At 44.9% G+C, this 24,912-nt stretch overlaps 1 protein-coding gene across 1 annotated transcript in view; it reads right to left on the bottom strand.

Annotated features, from left to right (window-relative positions):
• EPHB1 (EPH receptor B1) overlaps positions 1–24,912 on the bottom strand; it is a 465,208-nt gene that overhangs the window by 152,203 nt on the left and 288,093 nt on the right. Inside the window, exon 4 of the mRNA NM_004441.5 lies at positions 1,662–1,817. Coding sequence (NP_004432.1) covers positions 1,662–1,817 — 156 coding nt within the window. The remainder of the gene's footprint in view (positions 1–1,661; positions 1,818–24,912) is intronic.

The raw sequence follows: 24,912 nt of genomic DNA, 5'->3' as shown, positions 1-24,912 counted from the left end.
AATTTCTAAAACTCTTTATAAACTTTCCAATACTGCCAGTGAATGAATGTGACTACTGATATAATCCATTTAAAGTCAACGGCTGCACACTAAACCTGAGGCCCCTCCAGACTTCCAGGTGCACCTGAGGGGTTAATGAGAAGGAATGGAAAGGAGCGTTTTCAGGAGGAATACTGTGAGTCCCTGGGCGTATACTTCGGCAATCATGGAGACTAGTCTTTGGTCTGAACATCCAGGGAGCAGTGATTCAGCATCCTTAAGTGATTTCTAAAGAAGTACATTAAACAATGCTTTTTGGGCTTATTGAAGACCCCCAGGGCAACCTCAGAAATCAGTGGAGGAGATAGCACAACAGAAAAACAGGACTTCTGGTCAGCAGAAACAATCATTTTTGTTAATATTAACCCACAGAGAGAGAGGTCTGTAGAAAATCAGTTTACAACAGGATGAGCTTTTCCTCAGTTCAAATCTATACACATTGATTGAACTCAGGAACTTGATCTAGAAGGTACTTTCATTCCCCCTCTTTACTCAGTAAAGGTTACATACACTACAAGGCTGGAATTAAGTAATTCTTCTACTAAGAGTCCAGTCACTTTTTCTGTTCATCAAACAGAAAGTATAAATGAAATATTCTTCTGTGATGGGGATGGATGGAAGGGATTTGGTCCAAGCAGGTGTAAAGAAAGGTCCCTGCTCACAGGGAGCCAGGAAGCATTATCCAATGAAGAAGAAAATTCTAACACATTAGAGGCTAACCTGGAGCACTGACTCCCAAATACAATGGGATACTTAAAAGAGAGGTCATCCACATTTCAGGGCTACAATGCTCAGAGGAGTAGGAGCAAATTATCCAAAGTACTGTGCAGGGACAGTAGTGATTGCCTCCTTCCACAATTATTGGGGAGAATATTGGGAGAAATGCACCCCTTCTCACATCCCTATCCAGAGAGTGTAGCTGCCTTTCCCCGTTTTTGGCAGGGAGACTGCTCTTCCCTCTATATTATATAATGGGAGAGTGATGTAGCCAATGCATTAGCTCCGGTCCCTAGAATTTCTGCCTTGGAGATGCATTCTGTGGTCAGGCCACTGGTCTTGTCATTTGACAGGAGCACAAATGCTACATCAGGCTGGGCATTTGAAGGGACACAAGAAGATGAATATATGGTCCTGGCACACAATAGTCTTCATTTGGTAACTGAGATAAGTACAGAATGACTGAACAATTAATAAAATGATGAGCACTCTGAGGGGAGTCTGGTTACAAATATACAGGAAACCCAGCAAAGAGATAGGAGATTCTCAGCTATAGGCACCAGGAGGGACTTCTTGGAGGAAGTGATAATAGATCATGATTTTGCATCCAAAGAACTCTCCAGTCTGACATCTGATGAACAGAAGTTATCTTGCTGGGGTGGGAGAAGGTCCTCTTATATGGGAAGAAGGGGGAAGAAAGAAAAAATGTAATCTTCACCCAGTGCTACGTAGGGACAAGGCCTCTGAACTCCGAGCATAGGAGTTGTATGTTTCAGCACCATGGCCAGCAATTCTGCTTTGCCCTGGGATCAAAGGATGATGTCTTCTCTTCCTTGCCCCAGACCCACCACTTGCACCATCAGGGAACCAAACTCCCCAGCCCAGAGCCATTACTAGACACTTACTAGTGCATGCCACTTCTGGAGGGTCAAAGTCCGCTCGGTAATAACCGGTCCGACAGGTGCAGATGGGAGACGCCTCTGCAGGGGAGCGGCTGTTGGAGGGGCAGTGGGAGCAGCCTTCAGCTTCCTGGCTGGCCTTGAATGTCCCTGCAGGGCAAGCTAGAACACAAAGAGACCATGTGATAATTAATGGAAGTGTGGCAGCCAGAAACTCTTCCCTACAACCGGAAAAGGAGTGTCTTCCTCTCTAAAAAGAACATTGAGATGCCCCTCTCGTACCAAGGGAGATCTAAGGTTGAGGAAACCCATATTTAACACTTCCAATTCTTCAAAAATCCTTTGTGAAATATATCTTCTTGGTACCAATGACCTCTCTCACTTGAACAAAATGGATAATAATTCTTCCCTTCCAGGTGTGTCAAGAGATTTAATTGAGAAAACAAATCTAAAGTGTAGCTCAGTTCCTGGGACATAAGTGCTCTATAAATGGTTACTCCCTCTTCTGTCTACCTGGTTAACATCCATGGCCTTTCCCTGAGCCACTCACTAAAGACATCTCATCCTATGGCCTCAGTTAGAAAGGGGTCCCAGGTTTTTCAATGACATGTTGGACCCACGGTTTTTCAATGCCATGTTGCAGCACACATGAGGAACACACTATGAGATGTATTAACAAGCTCTTGCTATGAATGATGGCAAAGGGCTGAAATTCATAAGTGATTCTTTAAAACTAAATTAGGGTGATTTCAAGGTTAATGCCTTAACAACATCATTCTCCTTTAATTGCATTTTGATATGCTTCCGGGGGTGGGGCAAGGAAAGGATGACTTTGCAGACAGCACACCAGGGAACGTGTCACACACTTGGTGTCATCTATCATGCACATGGCAGTGGGGAAGGTTGGGAACACCTGATACTACCTGATCTCCACTGGAGGGGCCCTCATATGTGCAGCACATCCTCTTAATTTCCTGTGGGATCAGCCTATAATGAGTCATTCTCTGAAAAGTCTGGCTCCAAGCTATCCCTCGGGTCTTAACTTTGTCTCATCTGTAAAGACTTTTGAGCCCAGACATCTGGTCTCTTCCTTGTTGATCCCTCACAAGATTGATTCTGCCTACCCTACTTCCCCAAGGCCCTTCCTTATTATCTCAGCCCCCACTCTTCCTGTCCCCATGAAACCTACTCTGGCTCATCCTCCTTTGAGACTGGGTAAAACCTACTGACTGGTCAACTTGTTTGGCTTTCTTACACACCTCATTACTTCATTCAACAAACATTTACTGTTCCTGCTGAAAACATGACATAGGGAATTCAAGAATAGAGCCTGCCTTCAAGGAGCTCTTGATCCAATGAAGTCATATAAATCTAATACAATGTGATCATCATATAATTGAAGTGCCATTATAATGGTTTCTACTTATAGAAAGCTAATCTCAAATGTATTGTTCCCTCCTGGAAAGTGCAGCATATTCTTTAATAATAGCAGTAGCCACCATCTGTTAACTTGTCTTGTTAAGTGCTTTCCATGCATTACTCTATGGGGTAGCTATTACTATCTCCATTTTGCTAATGAGGAAACTGGGACACGGAGAGGTTACAAAAGTTACCAAGGATCACACAGTGGGAGAAATGATAGTGATGATGTACGCATAAACTATTTGAAAAATATCCACTGCTTTTCTGCTAAGACAAGAAGAAAGAATTGTTTCCTATGCTGTGAAAGTTATCTCACTCCATTGATCACTTAAGGTGAGGAAAAGGTTTCAGTTTCTCCAGACATGTGCTGGGTGGGGTGCCATTTTGGACAGGAAGGAATCTCCAAAACACAATGTTCTGGAATGGCACAACCCAAATGTGTCCCATGGGATCCACGTTCTTTGGATTGTTAACACCTATGACAAAAGGGTACTGTGGCCAGATATTTTGAAATGCTGATTTTAAAAGTTCATCTTATTCTTTGTTGAGAACTTTTAAAACTTTTTAAAATGCTATGTTTTTTCACCAAGAAGCCTTACTTTGCAGAGCATCCCCTGGGATCGGGGAAGACACTGGAGTGAATGTTGTTTCCCAGGTTTGGGGAAACAATGTCAGTTGCGAACCATGTAAAAAGGGACCACTTCCTGACTCATCTCAGCACATTCAGAAGAAACTTCTCTGTAGAAAGAAAAAAAGTACTGTTTGAGTCTTTATTAAAGATCTAACACATCAAACATGAAAGGGAGAAGCTCTGAATGGCAAAAGTATCCGAGGAGACTCTGGCTTACTAATCCATCTTTCCCAGCCCACTCATTACGGTCCCTCTCTCTGTATTTCTCCCTCTTTCCTTTTCTTCTTTCCATATCTCTCCTCATCTCCTGTGAGAAACACTTGGCTCTTTTCCTAATAAATCCCCAGCCTTCCTGGCCCCATTCAGTTCTGCAGCCAGTGAATACAGACAAATCCCAGGCCTGTGCTGCCTGGACTCGGCAGGAGCTCTGTCTCTGGAGAGTGGGGGAGGGGTAGAGGTGATGACTCAAGCATTCATATTTGGCCCCTGCCATGCTGTAATTTTCTTAATGTACCAGTCCAACAAGAACAAGGTGTTTTCCCTTTCTTTCCAGCACGTAAAAGCCTCCTCACTTTACATTTAATAAGTTAACAGCATAAACAATTGTCCTGATATCCACAAGTGGCAGGGGGATGTGGAAAGTGCCTCCTCTGAGGTTTCTGATGGAGGACAGTAGCTCTGGGTGACTGAGTCTCTGAATTCCAAGGTGTCCATGAGAGGAGGAAGTGGAGGGGAGGAGGTCCAAGCTGGACATCAGGGAGAGAAGCTTGGGGAGTGGTTGAAGAGAGAGGTTCCAGGAGGGGGTCTGATTCCATTCTCCCCGGAGAAACAAGCATTTGGAAATGGTCAGACAGTCCTGAGTTCAATTCTTGGCTCTGCCAGCTCCTAGCTTGGTGAACACTGGCAAGTTATATCATCCCTCAGAGCCTCAATTTGCTCATCTGCATAAAAGGTGTATGAAAAAGAACTGTAAATTTCTCACAATAACTCCCACAGATTATTAGAAATTAATAAACTCAAATATGAAATGTCGCTAGCATCAATGTGTGCTAAATAATGCTAACTCCTCTCCATCCCAACTTACCCACTCCTTTAAAAAACAAAAGCAAGGTTTCTTTGCAGGGACTTTTAGAATTCAGGGTCAGAATATAAATTTCAAGTCCCAAAGTGGGCAAATAAATCCTGGAACCCAATGGAAGAATGTGTTTCTACATATATTATTTCTGTTATGTATAATGGGTGAATCATATCTACAAAATATATTTTACATATAATTACAAAATGTATGAATCTCCTTAATACTCAGACTTTATAACTTAATACTTTCATAAAATCTGTCTAGGCATGCCTTAATTTATATAAGAAGCAGCATTCCTAAATTCATTTATTAAAGATTTTTTTTTCTTTTTTCTTTTTTTTACTTTAAGTTGTGGGATACATGTGCAGAACGTGCAGGTTTGTTACATAGGGATACATGTGCCATTGTGGTTTGCTGCACCTATCAACCCATCATCTAGGTTTTAAGCCCTGCATGCATTAGGTATTTGTCCTAATGCTATCCTTCCCCTTGCCCCCACCCCCCAACAGGCCCCAGGGTGTGACGTTCCCTTCCCTGTGTCCATGTGTTCTCATTGTTCAACTCCTACTTATGAGTGAGAACATATGTTGTTTGGTTTTCTGTTTCTGTGTTAGTTTGCTGAGAATGATGGTTTCCAGCTTCATCCATGTCCCTGCAAAGGGCATGAACTCATTCTTTTTATGGCTGCAAGGTATTCCATGGTGTATATGTGCCACTTTTCTTTATCCAGTCTATCATTGATGGGCATTTGGGTTGGTTCCAAGTCTTTGCTATTGTAAATAGTGCTACAATAAACATACGTGTGCATGTGTCTTTATAGTAGAATGATTTATAATCTTTTGGGTATATGCTCAGTAATTTATTAAACTTTTACATTGTTGTGCTATACTTTCTCATAGAATTCATGCTTAAAACAAGGGTGAAAGTGCCAGGCTAATCCACAAAGCCCTTTTAACTTATCTTGTATCAGGTGCCATTAATCAGAAACAAAAGTTAACAATATTTTTTCACTAGAAATTTAACATAGAAAAATAAATAAGAAAACTACGCTGTCACTTGAGAAAAAGCAGCTTTAACTTGGGTTGATAAATAAAGCTTCTGGGTGGCTTCTGATGAAGAATATTCAGGCCATGAGAAGCAAAAGCAAATGGCCTTTGGAGCCAGGTCAGTCACTTGAGAATATAAAGCAGCCGGGAGTCACACAGTGCAGAGTGGTGGAGACCCTGGCAGCCTGGAGACTGCTCACCTGCATAAAGACTGTACAATTTTAAACAATAATAATTAAATACAGCGGTAGCCTAACCAAACACATTTCAGCACTTTCAGGCAACTTAAGGTAAATAACAGAGTTCTCTGCTTTCGTATCATTTCAAAACTCAGGAGTTCCTTTACAGAATTACGGTCAGCACTACTGCTGCAGTTGGGAGCCCCTCATTCAACAAATATTTATTGTGGATTGACTTCTAGCCAGGCACCAGGCTAGGGGAATAGAGCAGGGTGCAGATGGGGTAGCCAACATTAGGAAGCTCCCTTCCTGGTGAGGGAGGTGGACAATGGAATGCTGCTTCTGATACAGCAGGATCTGTGCTATGCTTGTGTGCACACAGGGGACCAGGTGGATGGATGTACACCTTTTGCAGAGTCTCCTTATAAGATGAGAGTCACAAGAAACTTTATAAAAGAAGTAGTATTCCTGAGTTCATTTATTAACCTTTTAGCTTGTAATTTGTAACCACACTTATGCTATACTTTCTCATAGAATTCATGCTTTAAACAATGGTTAAAAGTGTCACTTCAGGCCAGGCGTGGTGGCTTACACTTGTAATCCCAACACTTTGGGAGGCCGAGGCGGGTGGATCACCTGAGATCAGAAGTTTGAGACCAGCCTGGCCAACATGGTGAAACCCTGTCTCTACTAAAAATACAAAAAAAAAAAAATTAGCTGGGCGTCATGGCATGTGCCTGTAATCCCAGCTACTCAGGATGCTGAGGCAGGAGAATCGCTTGAACCCAGGACGCAGAGGTTGCAGTGAGCCAAGATCGCGCCACTGCACTCCAGCCTGGGTGACAGAGTGAGACTGTGTCGCATTAAAAAAAAAAAGTGTCATTTCTTGGCAATGGTGATTAAACAGTTTATTGTGATGGTTAGGAGATGAAATTCAGAAGAAGAGGAAAAGACAAAGGGAGAAGAAAAGAGGTGGAAGAACAGGAGAAGTAGGAACGGAAATTAGGTCATAAAGTGCCCAGCTTTGGACTTTGCAGGGGAGAGTTCCATTACATTTCCAGGAGGTGGGTAGAAAGAGAAGAGCCGCCGACACCTTGCTGTGTATTCGCATTAAGACCTTTGTCAATGGGACAAGGTAACTTGGAGGGCTGGACATTTCTAACACCAGTGCAGCCTACAATTGCCTTGTTTCCTTAAGAGAAAGGGGTTCCCTTTCCTCCATTGTAAGTGATTGCAGTTCAGACAGAAGGCCTAGAAACTTGCATAGCCGAGGCTTTTTGATGGCACCCCTCTCCCCGACCTCACCACACATCTCTTTCCCCACCCCCAACTTCAGAAAAGGGGAGGAGACAAGATCTGAGCACCCCATGCCTAAACGTGTATATATTTTCCATTCAACAGACAAAACACACATTTGCCTCCCTGTTCAAGTGCCAAGGGATAGGTGCATGTCACCTCTGGCTGGTATCCAGAAGGTCACCTTGAAACACCCACCCAACTTCTCAGCACCTCAGTGATATGACAAATGACCTTCTGCTTACCATACTCTCGAGACACTCCTCTCCTCCTGTCCCTGCACACAGACTTCCAGTGACACTGAGTCCATCACCCACAGTACTATTACTTTATAAAGAAACAGATTAAGTGTCTCATAAACAGTGCAGTGATTGAGATAATGGAAAGCGCTTCTCATCCCCATCTGCAGCATCAGGTTACAAAGCATTTCCAAGCAGCCAGGAAGAGGAAATTAATAGAAGCAAGAGGGAATAACCACTTTTATGCAATTTCCTCAGGAGATAGTGGACCATCTAATCTTTATTGGAGCCCTTTAACCTGTCACTCAGCACTCACCAGAGCCTCTTTAGCTCTCACAATTTTTCTTGATATCAAAGGAAGATAAAATGGAGACCTCAAAATATTATTTTATAATTTTCAGATGTGGAGGGTGCGTGTTACCTCTGCCCTTCCCCCTCTCAGATGAGGCCTCAAAAACAACATTTTTATGCAGCATAAATGTGGGAGAGCTTAACTATTCTCAGCGCATGGTCTAGGGGGTCAGAGCTACACCGCAGGGAGGAAGTCTCTCCTTGCATTTTAAATGTGATTCTTCCCTCCACTGCCACCTTCTGTCCTTGCTCTTTCTTTTTAATAATCTGATTACTTCTTCTGATCTATTTTTTTCCCCAAATGAGTTTGCAAAGGTTCATGCCAATGAATATTCATCCCCTGCTTAAGAACTGGGTGCCTTTTTCTCAAGGCAGGTGCAGCTCAGCAGCTGGCTCAGGGAAGTCAGCCTGCCTCATGGGGCAACTGGGAGAGAGGCAAGGTACATGCTTCTGGCCAGGAAGAAGGAGGTTCGCAGCCCAGAGTTCATTGCTCCTACAACCTCCCCTTCCTTTATCTTACGCTTTGTTCTCATTCTGTAAGAGAGGCAGAAAAGCCTCTCTCAGAAGCTGCTAAGAATTGTGTGATAGGTGTGGTGTTGGTGGGCAAGAAATTCCTGTGGGTCATGCAAACAGCTCTGCATAGCTCCTTCCATAGGTCCTGTGGCCCCACATTGGGCCACTATTTAAAGTCACTTCTGTGGCCAAATGTCTCCATTACTTTCACATTACTGGTGGCTGAACAAATAGGTTCCCAGCTCTGAAATTTCAGGCCTGGTGAAACTCCCTAGAAGGAAGTGGCATGAGGTTTCTGCACTGGGATTCCTCTGTCTATTCTCAAAAGCAGTCTTTGCTTTCCCAGAATGGGTTTTCCTGAACAGCCCCAGGACATTCCACTGGGACTCAAAGCCTTATGGGAGCTCCCATTTCCCCTTATATTCATGGCAATGTGTTGAGAAAACTGATGGCAAGGAAATATTTCCCAAGCACCCATCCATCTGTCCATTCTTCCATCCATCCATCCATCCATCCATCCGTCCATCCATCCGTCCATCCATCCATCCATCCATCCAATGTACTAGTTTGAAAGCTCTCTGAAGATGGATAATAGGTGTTGCCATCTTTGTATTTCCCTTTCCCCAGCGCTTAGCACAAACTTACACATAGGCATACACATTCTACGGCTAATTGAGTGAGTGTTCACTGAAGGACTGCTGTGATAAGACACAAAAGATAAAAGCTGTGATGATAATAATAATAACAACAACAAATATGATATTAATATTAGAGAATGTGAGATAATGAGCACTCCCACACAAAGTGTGGATTCCCTTTTTTTTTTTTTTTTTTTTTTTTTTGAGGCAGGGTCTCACTCTGTTGCCCAGACTGGAGTGCAGTGGCGTGATCTCTGCTCACCGCAACCTCCGCCTCCCAGGGTCAAGCAATTCTCCTGCCTCAGCCTCCCGAGTAGCAGGGATTACAGGAAAGCGCCACTACCACCTAACTAATTTTTGTATTTTTAGTACAGACGGGGTTTTACCGTGTTGGCCAGGCTTGTTCTGAGCACCTGACCACAAATGATCCATCCGCCTCGGCTTCCCAAAGTGTTGGGATTACTGGAGTAAGCCAACATGCTCGGTCAAAGTGTGGATTCTTATCATTTCCTGGGAGAGTTATTTGATGTGTATTAAGAGCTTCAAAATATTGAAAGCTTTGATTCAACGATCTTATTTCTAAAAACTTATTCTAGAAAAAAAAAGCAAGCAGGTGTGGGAAAAGATTTATGTTCATTGATGTTCATCACAGTGTTATTTATAATAGGGAAGAAAGAAAGAAGAGAGAAAGGGAGAGGGAGGAACTTAAAAGTCTGATGATAAGGTATTGACTAAATAAATCATGCAACATTCATATAATGGAATATTGCACAGCAGTTAAAATTGTGACTTGGAAAAATATTATAAAAGTGTGGTCTAAAACTATAGAGTATGAGACTATGAACTTCATTTTATACACACACACACACACACACTCAAACATATCATACTCAGCAAAATGGAAAATAAAATCTGGGAATGGTGACATTATTATTATGTTTCTGTACTTTATCAATGTTTTGTATTACATATACATGACTTTAGTAATCAAAGAAATTCTCATCCAGTACATTTAAAAATCTTGCAGAGGACACAAAAATATGAATGACAACCTCCAATTCCAAGGAGCTGAGCTGAGCATAGCAGGTCAGGGTGAAGTGTTTACCAATAAAATTTCTACAGCAGAGGTGGAGATGCTCTGTGACAGAGGTCTTTAGAGGAAGGGGAGAGTGGGTTGCCGTTGGAAGGCTGCCTAGAGGAGGTGGTTCGTGCACAGGGCCTCAAAGGATGTGTAAAAGTTGGCACAGAGGGAGGATGGGAGGATGAGGCAAAGGGAAAAGATTGCACCAAGACCATCCCTAGCTTACCTGGGGAAACTTTGAGAGTAGTTGTAGAAGGTGCCAAGAATACGAAGCATCTATGTGGGCCATGGTGGGAGGAGGGCTGGAGCGCATTTACTTCTACATCATCCTGGGCACTTGGAGCCAAATGAGTCTCCAGTTCTTGCCTCCCTGGGCCTGCTGCCAGCTGTAATGGCCTGTGCAGAGGAGACACTTAGCTGTGTCATACACTTGTATCACTCATGATGACACTTGCTGAAGTTGATGAATGCTGCAGGCACCATGACACAGAAGAGACTGTAACTTACTGTGCTATTAAGTTGTTCAGACAGCAGTAGCAGTAGCAAGCCTAGAATGCATCCGCATGGAAGTTGTTAAAGAGGTGGGCCAGGGTGGGGGTGCTTTTCCTTGATAAAATGGGGAGATCACTGGTCAGGACTGAAGGGTGACAAACAGAAGAGCAGTGTCTCAAGGGAGAGGGACAGACACTGAGGTCCTGATGGCAGCCTGTTCCCAGAGCGTAGCCAAGACCTTCAGAGCCAGGGTCCTGTCTGGTTGTAGGAGGCTGTGCTAGGCATCGGTTTCTCTCAGAAGAGAGTCCAGGCCTGGATCCTAAAATCCTGGTCCAAGGTCAGTGATTAGGGAGTGAGGATAGCCATAAAGCAAGCCCAGGTGTTTTGTAGTGATCTAGGCCAGGTTCTCAAATTGGTCTCCAAGTCAGCAGTGCTATGGACTAAAAGTTGCCCCTCAAAAAAAAAAAAAAAAAAACAAAGAAAAAAAAATCATACGTTGAAGCCTAATTCCGAATGTAATTTTTTTTCTTTTTTTTTTTTTTTTTTTGTAGACAGAGTCTTGCTCTGTGGCCCAGGCTGGAGTGCAGTGGCATGATCTCAGCTCACTGCAACCTCCACCTCCAGGGTTCAAGCGATACTCCTGCCTCAGCCTCCAAAGTAGCTGGGACTACAGGCATGTGTCACCACACCTGGCTAACTTTTGTTTTTTAAGTAGAGACGGGGTTTCACCGTGTTAGCCAGGATGGTCTCGATCTCCCGACCTCGTGATCCGCCCCCCTTGGCCTCCCAAAGTGCTGGCACTACAGGCATGAGCCATTGTGCCTGGCCCCGAATATGATACTACTTGGAGGTGAGGACTCTGTGGAGTAATTAAGTCACGAGGGTGGAGCCCTCATAAATGGGATTAATGGCCTAATAAGAAGAAATACGAGAGAGCTTTCTTTCTGCCCTGTAAGTGTACAATGAGCAGATGGTCATCTGCAAACCAGGAAGTGGGCCCTCACCAGACCCTGGATCTTCTGGCACATTGATCTTGGACTTCCTAGTATTCAGAACTGTGAGAAATAAATGTTTGTTGTTTAAGCCACCCAGTGTTTGTTACAGCAACTTGAACTAAGACAAATAGCATCAGTGCCACCTGGGAACGTATAGAAACACAGAATCTCAGATCCTCCTCCAGGCCTACTGAACCAGAAAATCTGGAGATGTGACTCAGTAATCTGAATTTTATCAAGCCAACCAGGCGATTCTGGTATAGCTCTAGTCTGAGGACCACTGCTCTAGGCCATCTGGAAGAATGCAAACATGGAGTCTGAAAAACTTCCACGTTCTAGCTGTGTGATCTTAAGCAAGTTATTTAAACTTTGACCCTCAGCCCCCCATTTGTAAAAAGGGGTGCTAAGGTGACTTCCTTCCCATAGCTATTGTGAAGATCAGTGTAATACATGTAAAATTCCTGGAATATAGTATCTCCTCAATAAATATCCTCAAGATGTTTTCCACAAGGAGCCAGGCTGAATGTTTTCATCAACAATTCACTTGAAAGTATTTATTGACCACCTATAATATACTTGGAGGTGTGCTAGGCATTGTGATATATCAATGGAGGAAAAACACAAAGATGTTCCCCACGTGGAATTGACATCCTGGTGGAGGAAGACAGACTTTGAGCTGGAAATTCCAATGGATGGGATTGAGGTGGCATAGAAGGGCCACAGTAGGGACCTAACCCACTCTGGGAGAGCCTTGGGAAAGCGACATCTAAGTGAAGGCATAAAGAAGATATAAGCCCCCTATAACAGGCAGAGGTAAGGTAAGTTAGTGAGAGAAGGTAGAGAAGCTTCCAGGTGGAGAGAGCAGCCTGTGAAAAGGCCCTGGAGAATGAAAATGACTCAGTCAAGGACCTGAGCACAGTGCCTTCAGGGGCCCTGAGTGCTCAGGCTCAGGCACAGTTCCTGTGTGGGGTGGGTGGGATCCATAGGCAAGTGAGGAGGCTGAGCGCTTGGAGGGGCAGCCTGAGCTCATGTCACCCACTCGGCCCATGGCTTTACCCTGAAGTCCACGGAAGCCACTTGATAGGCTTGAAATTGGGAAGAAACAGAATCAGATTTTGTTTCTAAAGGATCACACTGGTTGCTGGGAAATGAATGGACTGGAGGAGTGGGGACATTTACAGGAAGATTCAGCAGCCCACAAAAGGTGATAATGGATTAGGGTAGTGGGAACAGAGAGAAGTAGATAGATTCAAGAGCTATCTAGAAGAGAAGTGTCTGGCAATTGATTGGGGATTGCTCATTCATTCAACAGATAAGCACTGAGCCCCTACTAGATGCCAGGCACGGGGTTGGGTGCAAGGAGTCAAAGACTGCAACCTGTTGTCCGCTTGTGTCCCTGCTGTCCTGCTGACCCCAGAAAGCCTGCCCTCTACACTTCATCCTCTAGGGCTAGACATTTTCCTCTTTCTGGAGTCCTCTTTTAGAAATCCAATACTTTGGCAGTGGGCTCCCTGTCCCTATAACTTTGGGGGGAATATTGGGAGTGGCAGTATGAAGTGTCCAGAGCAGAGAAGGTGAGAGTCTCACTCAGAGACTAGGACTGATTTGGCTCTTCCTGCAGCAGCTGCATCTGCACCCCAAGTCTGTCCCTTGACCGCTGGCCTGCAGACAAAGCTAGAGGAACAACATTTGTGTCTATGTGGGAGAGAAACCAATCTTCAGACTCAGGAATCTGCAGAGTGGCCAGAAGAGCCTTCTGGACTTTGGAATGGTACAGGGAACAGACCTCTGACCAGAGATTCCTGCCCCTGAAGCTGCAGCATTACCTGCATCTCCTCTATAGCAGGCCAACTGGACAGCCAGTAGCTGCTGAGAGCCCCATGGGCTGGTTCCTTAGCTTTAAGCCAACAGAGGGGTCAGGAAAGGTACGATGCTGCAGCACTGAGGAAGACAGAGAGAGCAGAGAAGAGGGAAAGCAGGAGGGAGAAGGTTTAGCTGGGAACAACTGTACTTCCTTACACAGGGGGAAACTGAGGCTGGAGAAGGTGCTTGCCTTTCTTAGGTCACCCAGGAAGCAGGGGCTCAGCTGAACTTATTCCTTGGCCCTGCCTGCCTCAGAATAGAATGGCAAGGGAAGGACATGGGAGGAGTTGTGGAGGAGGCAGCCGACAGGCCCCTCCTGTCCACGGCCCAGCCCCAGGAGAAACAGCATAAACATGTCGATCTGCCCCCACAGACACCCGACATTCTGGAGCCTACACACTGGACATGGGGGGACTCTGGGGAAGGAGGCAATAATGCAGCTAACAGGGAAGTAAGGGACCAGTGGGCAGAGACTGGGAAGGGGCAGGGCCTGGTCCTTCACTCTCCAAGGCTCTTACAACCTTGAAATGATCAGCATGGAGGGGAGTGGGACAGAGCAGGTTCACAGCAGCCAGACACCAGCAAGGCTGATGTCGCTGTGTGCTGGCCTGCCCTCTTTCCCAGGGCTTGATGGAGAAGTAGGACCCAGAGAGGCAAATGGCCTAATGGTGCTCAAGCTCCTCTTTTGATGGAATTTATACAAATGAAATAATCACACATAGCTCAAAGATTTAACTATGAGGGCACTCATGGCAATATTGTTTATAGCAAGAAAAAATTAATTACAGCTTAAAAGCCCTAAAATAAGGGGTCAGATCAATAAATTATAGTGCATCCATAAATGGAAAATCATGACCCCATCAAGAAAGATGGTGAAAACCTGTGGTTAGTGACATCTAAAAATATTGGCAAATAGTGGGAACAAATATTGTTCTTAAAGATTTCACTTTCTTATAGTGATGAGATTATGCACATTTTAAAAATCTTTTATGATCTATATTTTCCAATTTTTATGCAGTGAACTTATACTTTTTTGAATGGAAAACGATTTTTTTTTTTTTTTTGAGTCAGGGTCTCACTCTGTTACCCAGGTTGGAGTGCAGTGGTGTAATCTCAGCTTGCTGCAACCTCTGCCTTGAGGGTTCAAGTGATTCTCCCACCATAGCTTCCCGAATACCTGGGACTACAGGCACGTGCCACCAGGCCTGGCTAATTATTTTTGTATTTTTTAGTAGAGACAGGGTTTCATCATGTCGGCCACGCTGGTCTTGAACTCCTGACCTCAAGTGATCTGCCCATATTGGCCTCCAAAAATGCCGGGATTACAGGTGTGGGCCACCGTGTCTGGCTAAAAAAGATTTTTCAAATAGTGGAAGATTTTTTCAAATAGTAGGTAGGAGTAGTGTGAGTGGTGTGGCAAGAAGGCGAGAAGTGAGGCCCCACTGGCAGCAGGACAAGGCAGAGAGGGCAGTGGAGTGCGGGGAGTGGCCTGGGAGTTGGCACAGAAGGACCCCAGTCAAGTCCAGCCTTTCTGTGAACCATCATGTCTCTGTGTCCCCAACTCCACCTCCTCACTCATGTTAGTGTACCCTAAAAATCTCTTTTGAAGGATGAGCTCTTTTCCTTTTATAGACATTCTCTCATTCTCTCAACACACATCTGGGGAGCACTTTCTGTGTGCTCTGAGATAGATATCAGCTAGTCACTGCCTTTATATTGGGTAAGAAGAAGTCCATTGACACGGAGTGAGGAATTCCAGATACGCAGGAATCAGAAGTGTAAGGGGGTCTGGAGGAGCCCCCAATGCAGAGGCAGCAAGCAGCTAAATGGGGGTGGAATTCTTAAGATGTTGGACTCCAGGCCAGGTTTGGTGGCTCCCGCCTGTAATCCCAGGACTTTGGGAGGCTAAGGCGGGAAGATCACTTGAGCCCAGGAGTTCGAGATCAGCCTGGTCAACATGTCAAAACTTCATTTCTACTAAAAATACAAAAAATTAGTCAGGAGTAGTGGCGCATGCCTGTAGTCCCAGCTACTCAGGAGGCTGAGGCAGGAGAATCGCTTGAACCTGGGAAGTGGAGGTTGCAGTGAGCCGAGATTGTGCCACTGCACTCCAGCCAGGGTGACAGAGAGACTCTGCCAGAAGGAAAGAAGGAAGGAAGGAAGGGAGGGAGGGAGGGAGGGAAAGTTGTTGGACTCCAGAGTCAGGGCTGTGCCCTCCTTGAGAAGATGTGATGTCACAGCTAAGCAGGAGACAGGGAAACAGTATCAGTTCTCAGAGGGCAGAGCAGGGAGGTAAAGGAAGTGGTAAGCCCATGCTAGAGGGCAGCGGGGAGGAACCTGTGCTTTAGAAGAGAGCAGAAGCACCCTACCAGCAGCCAAGATGGACTCCTTAAAGGGAGGTATCCCCTTTGCACTTCATTCTCAACCAACAGGGAGATGCTTCACGGGGCCCCTGGCACCCAACAGAAGGGAGGGTCCCATCACTTTGGTCACTCTGAGAGCCCCAGGTCATTTATCCTTCTTGGGTGCTAGGCCTAGGTCTCTGCAGCATCAACAAGGACAGGGGAATCCCCAACTGTCCCCTCCCAAGGCCCAGTCTCCACCCTTCTCAGTGCCCGGCTGCCAGTGTTCTAAAAACACCATCAATCTGGTAGCTCCAGGCAGGGGATGAGCAGGACATATGCTGGCAGTCAGGCTGCTTCCCACGTTTTCAAACCGAAGTGTTTTTCTTTTGAGAAAAACCTTATTTTTTAAGCACTTTCCTCCCTGACACAGACCTTAATGGATTCCGTTTAAAAAAAATTTATAACCAAGTTCTTAAGATAAATGAAGATGACTTCTCACTGTGTTTCTATCTAAAGGCTGGACAATGACAAGAAGCCACCCAGAGTTTCTCACTTTTTCCAGAGCCCCAGACGCACAGGCTGGCTACGAGGGCACACATAGGTCAGCCAGGTCTGCTGAGTGGTCACACCGAGGACAGGCACTGCTTTCACTTGCTCTCTCTACTTTTCACAGAGCAAATAGGAAACACACACACACAAGCAACTGTGTTTAGATGTATCACACAAATCTCATTACTCTCCAAACTCTGACGAGGCAAATACAACTCTTCTCTTAGGGAAGCTTGCTATTGTTCCTTCCTTTCCAGGCTTCCTCACCCCAGAGTTTGGTGAGCCCACAAATTACAGACAGACAGGGCTGGAAAAGACCTTAGAAATACCTTTTAGAATGGGGCCACCAATACCCAGCACAGATACTGTCACTACCTCTCCATGCCTGCCGTGGCAGACATTGCTAATCAATCCCGGCACTCATTCCCACTCAACCCACAGCAGAGTGCTGAGACTTTAACACAATGTTCCAGGCACAAACTACCTGTGATTGAATTGCCACATCACAGACCTATGATGGCAAAAATGAGGCCCAGAGAAGGCAATGACTTGGCCAGAGGTGCAGGTGAACCAGAACAAGTCATGGTGCCAATGTCTGCTCCACCTGCCCAGATGGCCCCATCATAAGCATGAGCCTGCTGCAGCTCTGTGGAGCTCACCCCCACCCCCATCCCAACTGCCTCAACTCTTTCTCCTTCTCAGCTTTGTAGTTGGTCCCACTGCACAGCCTCCTCTCCAACTGGGATGCAAGGGCATCTAATTATTCTCTCTGTGTGCATCAGGGAAGAGCTGCATTCTGTTTAAGTAAGTGTAGCTAAGAGGTGCTGCATCTCAAGAGAAGGTCAAGTGCTGCATATGTATAATTTAAGATTAAGATTTTCCCTTTCTGTGGTGTACTTGATAAAATAATTTTGCTGTGACCTTTACAGAAACCCAGGAGTAGAAATGGGCTCAGTGGAATTTCCAGCTTCTCCCCAGGTCACGAAGTCATAAACACATAAATCTATAATGATATTACGCAGCATTCAAGTGGGACAAGTAAGCAAAAGAAATAATTTTTACTTCTTTTAATGGCAGAGCAAAAGCTTTGAGGCTGAAATTCTCAGCCTAAATTATCAGAGCTGTCTTGACAGATAAGGGGCAGAAACCCTTCCCCCTACACTGCCCTGTCCTTGCCTGTCTGCCCAGTGTGGCACTGCAGACATGGGCATGGACCTCCCTAAGCAGATTATTTAGAGGAAAGTGGCCTGTCCAAGGTCATGGAGGAATCAGTCAGGTCTAACTGGCTCTGCCACAATGTTGCCAGGGGGGTTTGTTCAGTCAGAGCTCAGCTCCTAAATTGCAGTGATAGTGGATGTAGCACTTTGCAAGTCTAGAGTCAATTCTTAAAAAGTGAAACAACCATGAGTAATAACCAATATTGAAATAAGGTTATAGTCATTCCAAAAGATTCTCCAAGTAAGAGTTACTATGACAAGGCAGAATATATGCATGAGATTTATCCAAAAGGCTGAAGGCAGAGAGATTTGGCAGAATTCATTTTGTCTGACCTGCGACTTTTGCTCAGGACCTCACCAACTCTGATGCAGACTTTGGAAAGAGAAGTGGGGCTTGCAGGTTCTGGAATAGGGAGGACACCCTCCTTTTGAGCACCTGAGCAGAGCCAGCCATAGGCACTGGATCCCTGGAGATCATGTGAATGGACCAGTGGATGTTGCAAATCAGATCATCTGGGTGAGGCCTCCCACTGCAACAGAGGCAGCGAAGGGTTGGATAGTCACATTCTCTCCTGAGATCATTTATTCCTAGGTGCTGAGAGGTAATTTCCAGAGTGCACTATGTCCTCCTTATTTTCAGTTTCCTGGATGAACATCAGTATCACCAACTGCCTTCAGGTTTGTCAGTGAAACACAATTAGGGGAGAAGCTTGCAGCAGAGATTAGAGGTGTTAAGGATACACTTAGCACTTAGATCTCAATGCACACTTAGGGAAGCCATTGAACTGAAGGCTCAGCACGTCAGGAAGAACCTAGAGAAGGAGCAGCAGGTGAGGAACTCAGGGAAGGCTCAGAGGGAGGAATGGGGCAAAGGAGCAGCAGGCACTGCTGAGCAACTTGAGAAAGGACTTCCCCAAAGCAAACAGCAGGACACGAACCCAGAGCTGAAGGAATGACAGGAGCCTAGCTGGACAGGTGAACACGACATTGCTCCCTCTCATGCCCAGGAAGGGTCCTGCTCTCCTGTGCCCACTCTCACCTTTCAGGCTTTACGGTCAGGCCAGCAAAGCCCTCTTAATAAATGAGAGACTGGTATGAGAAGCATGGCCAGGCCCTCCTACCCTCGGCACCTGATGTGTCTCACTTCACCCTTCCAAGGCAAGGTCTATGTGCCAAGCTACCCACCACGTGTTAAAATTGGTTGTAAAGTTGTGTTGGTATTAATAACAATTGTTTTATTAATAAGAGCAACAATAAGAATTTAAGCATGTGGCACAGGCCAGGTATGTTACTCAGAATAATCCCATTTTATTCTCACAACAGCCCCAAGAAACAAGTGCTACAATTATTCCAATTTTGCACATTAAAAAACTAAGGCTCAAATAAGTCCAGTAGCTTGTTCAAAGTCCCACTGCTGGTGGTACACCTGGGAATTGAATGCAGGCTGCTGACTCCAGAGACTTGATAGCTTACTGGCTGGAGTATTTTTATACCAAGTAAATTTACCTAGAATAAACAAAAACTATTGTGTATAACTACTTATGTTAAACATCAACTATGCCAACATAACTTCCTGGAGAAAGGAGTACCAGCTTCAGTTACAGACTCTACTACTTAGAGCCATGGAAAGCAAGTCCTACAACCTTTTTAAGCCTCAGTTTCCTCGTGTGTAAAAATTAGTCCCTGTCTCATAGAGTTGTTTTGATGATTGAATGAGATAGAAAATATAAATGTTTGATACAATATCTGGCATGAAATAACTGCTCAATTAAAAGTATTAATAGCAGTTAATATTTTCTATTATAAAATGATAATATGTTGAGTATAGACAATGTGTCATCACCTTGCTAATGTTTTCTATTTTTCAAAGTCAACATTTTCCCCTACCATATGGGACATTCCCATCAAGCTTTGATAATGCATGAGTATTGGCTTGAATCACTAAGATCTAGGGATACAAGGAGAAGTAGTATCCTATGTGACTTCTGGGAGAAAGTTAGCTCTTCTTCCATCCTTCCTCATTTTTGCTGGCTGAAAAGTAGACATGATGGTTGGAACTCAAGCAGCCATCTTCAACTATGAGGTGAAAACTGTGTGCTAAGAATGTCAAAGCAACGAAGTAGAATGCACCTGGGTTTCCAACATCACACCATGGAGTGCCATCCAACCCGGACTTATTTTACATGAGAAAAAAAACCCTGTATTTTTAAAACCCACAATTATCTTTCATTTTTATGTTCCTTACAGACAAATGTAATCGTAACATTTCTTTTCGATGAAACTATATGAGAAGATAGTAGCATTTCCATTTCACTGACAGTGATACTGAGGCTCAGAGATAAAACAATTTGCCCAATATTTCCCAGCTACTCTGTCATGGAGGTATAATTCACCACCAGGTCTGTCTGGCTTCACAGCTGATGCCCTTTCCAGCTATTTACTATGGTAAGTTATCTAAGGGGGTGGGGACATTCTGTAACGATGGGCATATGTACTCAGGCTCAAAAAGTCACATGTTCAAGTCAACATGAGTTCAGACGAGAGGCTTAGGAAAGGGACAAGATGAATATCTTTTCTACTCACTTAGGGCATCTTGTCCTACTTTTCCTGCCTCTAAAGGAAGAGAAAAAAAAATAAGTATGGTCTATGTCATATGCTGGCTCTCAGTCCCTCTGAGTTCCTGCCTGCCTGAATTCCTGACCAGATGTAAAAACGTGATGCATGGATGTGGCTGCTGGGTATTCTACAGAGACCTGCTCTGAAAGGCAAATTCATCCTTACAGTGGCTTCTGGTGCACAGAGAAAAATGAATAGAGTGTAAATGCTGGTGAGATTGGCTGCTTTTTCCACAGGACCCTTGGGCAGCTCAGCAGCAGGGCAGGCAGTGAGCATTCACTGATGCGAACTCTTCCTACCTCTAGTGGGTGTCGGCTCCCTAGAATATAAGTTTTTTGCTATTTGCATGACATATGGGCAACTAATTGCAATAACAATTACTACAATAATAATTATATTATTGTGCATGGATATCCTAATCCAGATTTGCTAGAGGAGCCGACTACACTTATGCCCACTTCCCATATAACTTCAGGATGGGATGTTAGGGACAGATGCAGCCAGGCTGCTGCCCATCAGCATAAAGGGCACAGAACAGTGAATGCCAAGGAAACCACATGCATTGAAACCTGGATTTCATCATCATTAGGCTAATAATCATTATAATCCTATGAAACTTCATTATTGAATTCCCCCTTTACCATTTCCACATGTAACACTCATTTGTTAATAACTAAGATAAAGGTCCATAAAACAATATTGCTCCCATGTAACACAGCTTCCTTCTCATTCTCAGTAAGAATCCAGACTTTCATCAGAGGAATCTAAGTGCTTCACCAAGATGTGTCAATTATTTCAAGATGACAGGTATTCGATTCCCAAATTCATCAGTGGGGGCTAAAAATGTATCGGTTCATCAAGCAAAGCACATTTCTGGAAGCACTCTCACCATTTGGGAATCAAATAATAATTGCAATACCAACACCTTGACTTTCTAATGGAATTTTTCAGGAGCTAAAGGGTTTTGACACATTCCCCCAACAACCCACTCTCAGATTTATCTTCTTTGTAGGCTTTTGCAATAGTAAAGGTACTGGTTTTATTTTTCTCATTTTGCAGAAGAAACTCAGATTCTCAATTCAGAAGTTGAGTGACTTACATAAGCAAAGCATGCTGGAGGCAAAAAATAGAGAACAGCTCTTTCACTGTGAAGCTCCAACCACTTGACTATACAGCTTCAGCAACATCACTCCTTGAATTCAAGCCCTGAGCTGGCCACTCTGACTTTACAGAGAAGAGTAAGCTGGAGTCCCCATTCTCAAAGAATACAAAACTCAGTGGAAGAACCAAATGTTAAAAATGAGAATTATAAAACAGCATGTGAGTGTGAAAAGAGAAGCATATAGAGGGGTGGGGAGAGAACAGGCAGTCTCCTCTCTATATTAGTTTGGAGAGTGAGGGTCCTGGTGGAGATGACAACTGATGCAGGCTTTGAAGCATTCATAGTTTACTAGGTAGGCAAAATGAAGGTAGGCACCCCAGGGTGAGAAAATGTCATGCATAAAGGCATGGTGGTGGAAAGAGTCAAGGATGTTTAGCAGCTTGCTAGTGTCATTGTCATATACCCATCACCAACCTAATCAAGCAGAAGACTTTGTGTTTGTGAGGAGAGAGACTGAGTGTTCCAAATAAGCTGGGAAGTCTTGAAGTGGGGCACGATGTCGAACTGAGTCTTGAAATAAGTAGGGAGCATGGACATGTTTCAGGAACACCCTCCCCCACCCCCACTTCTGAGTTTCTCTTGAGGTGTGCCTACCAATTCCTCACTCTTCTGGTCCTCCTCCATCCCACCGTCAGAGGTCATTAAGGATCCTGTTGGGCCTGGCTGATTCTGGATTCTTAAGGCAGCTCGGTCCTGGAAGGGGCTGCCCGGACTTCCTAACCCTAACATGGATGCCCTCCTACCACCCCCCACATATCTGTCTGCATCCTCTCATATCTCTTTTGTGTGGAGTAGAACAACAGAAATGCAAAGAGGCCCTTCTGTGGAAAGGGAGTTAGTAGGAAGCTTCTTTCTTCTCTCCAGGGCCCTGGCCTTTCCTCTAGGCACACACTGACGCCTTTCTCCTGGGGAGGCCTCCCCTCAGCTCTTAATCAGGGGCTGCACTTCAGTTCTTTCCAGAGCCCACTGTGGATTTATGATTTAATTTGTGTGTATGGCACTAAGAAATGATTTCAGGGCTGGTCACTTAAGAAATGATTAAAGACCATCATTTCAAACCCACAGCACTCCCTGGGGGAAGAGAAGCAGTCTGAGACAGAAGGAGGTGTTAATAATATGCTGAGATGGACATGTGGCAGGGGATGCCAGTCACCTGGGAAAGACAGAGGCAAGGAGGGCAAGGCCCAGCTGCCTCATGGCTGTGAGCTTTGTGTGTGCTGAGGAACACTGGGCAATGCTGAGAGGCCCGGGTCCTCAGGACAAGAAGAGACACCCGCATCAAACATTTGTGATGCTATCTTTGTCCAGAGAGGCAGATTCCATCTGAGGCAGGCACAATAAAAAACCAGGCTGTCTCCATTCCTTGGCATCTTTACAATCTCAGAGCAGTAAACCTGGGCTCCAAGGTGGGTGATTCCAGTTGGGAGAAGGAAGCAACCACTCATTAAAGGCTTCAGCCCTCCAGAAGCTTTCCATGTGTTGACACCGACCAGAAACCTGCATGCAGGAGTTCTAAATGACTCTTGATGTCTCTTCCAAGAGAACAGCCAAATGTCTCACTGCACCAGTTTATGTGGTGTGGCTATAAACTTCTGAGACCAGGTAATACACTTGGGAAGACACGCTTAGCTTCCCTTTAGGAATTCCTCAAAGTCAGGGTTGCTCTCATTGCCTCTTTGTGTTAATCAACTAACTCAGCCATTGGAGAACACAGGTGAGCCCTAGGCCAGGTCTGCTCGTGGCTGCACAGATAAGGGTCATTATTATTAAAGCCAGTGGCCCAGAATGTTGCAGAAGACAGCAATGGGTCAATGAAATTCACCCTGAATACTGACTCTGAATACCCAGTTTCCAGAATCAGTTCCTAAACCCTTGCTACCTGTGAGGTTGCGGGCAAGTTCTGTTGTAGCCTCTCTGAGCCACAGCAAGAACTCATCTGTGAAATGGGGATAAGGAGGGTAAATAAGAGTAATTCCCTCACCTTTGCTGTTTATTGGTGAACACATACAAGGCTTGATTTTAGTGTTCATTACAGCTCCTACGTCTGCTTATCTGGGCCTATCAAACATCCATCATGATAAGTGATACTTTGACTTTTGTAAGCTTCTTTTATTATGAATAGCAAAAACAACTGCAAGTGTACATTCTCATTCATGTTCTACAATATCTCACAATAGAAGGACCGTGGAGCTGCTGGGTATAACCACGGAGAGGCCCCTGGGAATGAGGGAGCTGAACCTCAGCCAGCTCTGCAGCAAATGAGTGTGACTCACCTTCTCTGGACTGCAATTGCCTTCTCTGTGAAATGAATGGTTAGATTAGATGCATCGATCTGCCATTCCTTTAACACAGGCTCGCTCTCTGTCATTCATCCATCACGCAGCCAGTCAGCGCACACCTCCGTTAAGCAAGGGACCTATATGACACAACAGCCAGCAAGGTGCAGTCCTTGCCACAAGGAGCTTCTCATGCCCTGACCTCAAAGACTTCTTCCAGCTCCACGAGGCTAATCTAACCATGAGCACTGTCTTTTCTAGGCTGTACGGGTGGGTGAGCTGAGGCACCCAGAAATTAAAGGATGTGCTCACCCAGCATGTCAGAAGTAAGGTGGAGACTCAGCTCATCAGGATTTGGGCCTCCTGGAGAGATTTTCCCATTAGCGTGCAGGGCATCTCCATCAATAATGATACCAACCATAATGAAGATAAATATTTTGCAATAAACTGTCGCTTTTTCACATGGCAAAAAGCTATTCCAATTAAACACACTTTGGTCTTTCTTTCCTTTACTTTTATTTCATTTTTCTTGGCATATCCCTGAGCTAAAGAAAAGAAAAAAAATCTATTCTTGAAAAGGCAGGCAGAGGGAGAGCCAACTCCAACAAAGATTCTACCCACTGCCTCAGTAGCGATTTCACCATCCTGCCACCACAAACACACCTACTGAACTGTCATCATCACCTGCTCCTGGGAAGGGAGGGGGCCCCAGGGTGAGACTGGAGCCTCATGTAAACCAGGGGCTCAAGAACTAGTCTGTGTTTCTGGGCAGCTTGGGGATGGAGTGAGAGGGACAGAGGATTCAATGGACTCATTTGGCCTCTATTATTTTTAATATGCAGGCCTCAATTAACATATGTAGCACTAACTTCTACATACTACGCACATAACTAAAAGCTCCAGTTAGAAAAATAGGAGAACAGCAGGTGGGAGTATCACCACCTTCTCCTACCTGCACCTCCTCAGCCTGGGAGAAGGTGCTCCTGGTGACAGAAATTAATCCCCCCTCCATACACTCCCCTTACTCTCACCCTCAGTCTCATTTCATGCCATTTCTGCTGGGATCTGAGCCTTGCCCTAATGCCTTCATCCTCTCTTCTGTATTTTCAACCTGTCTATTGGACTTTTCCTGTGGACAGCCTAAGGCAAATGTCTCAAAGCCTGTTGCTTCCCTAACCCTCCCTCCCTTCCCACATCCAACTGTCACCAGGTCCTGTCATCTCTACGTTCTGAGCTATTGTTAAATCTCCCTCTTTCTGTACCTGCCT

The sequence above is a fragment of the Homo sapiens genome, chromosome 3, assembly GCF_000001405.40.
Source record: "Homo sapiens chromosome 3, GRCh38.p14 Primary Assembly".
NCBI classification, from domain to species: Eukaryota; Metazoa; Chordata; class Mammalia; order Primates; family Hominidae; genus Homo; species Homo sapiens.
Note: the sequence above shows the minus strand (reverse complement) of the source record. Positions and strands in the feature narration are given on the sequence as shown.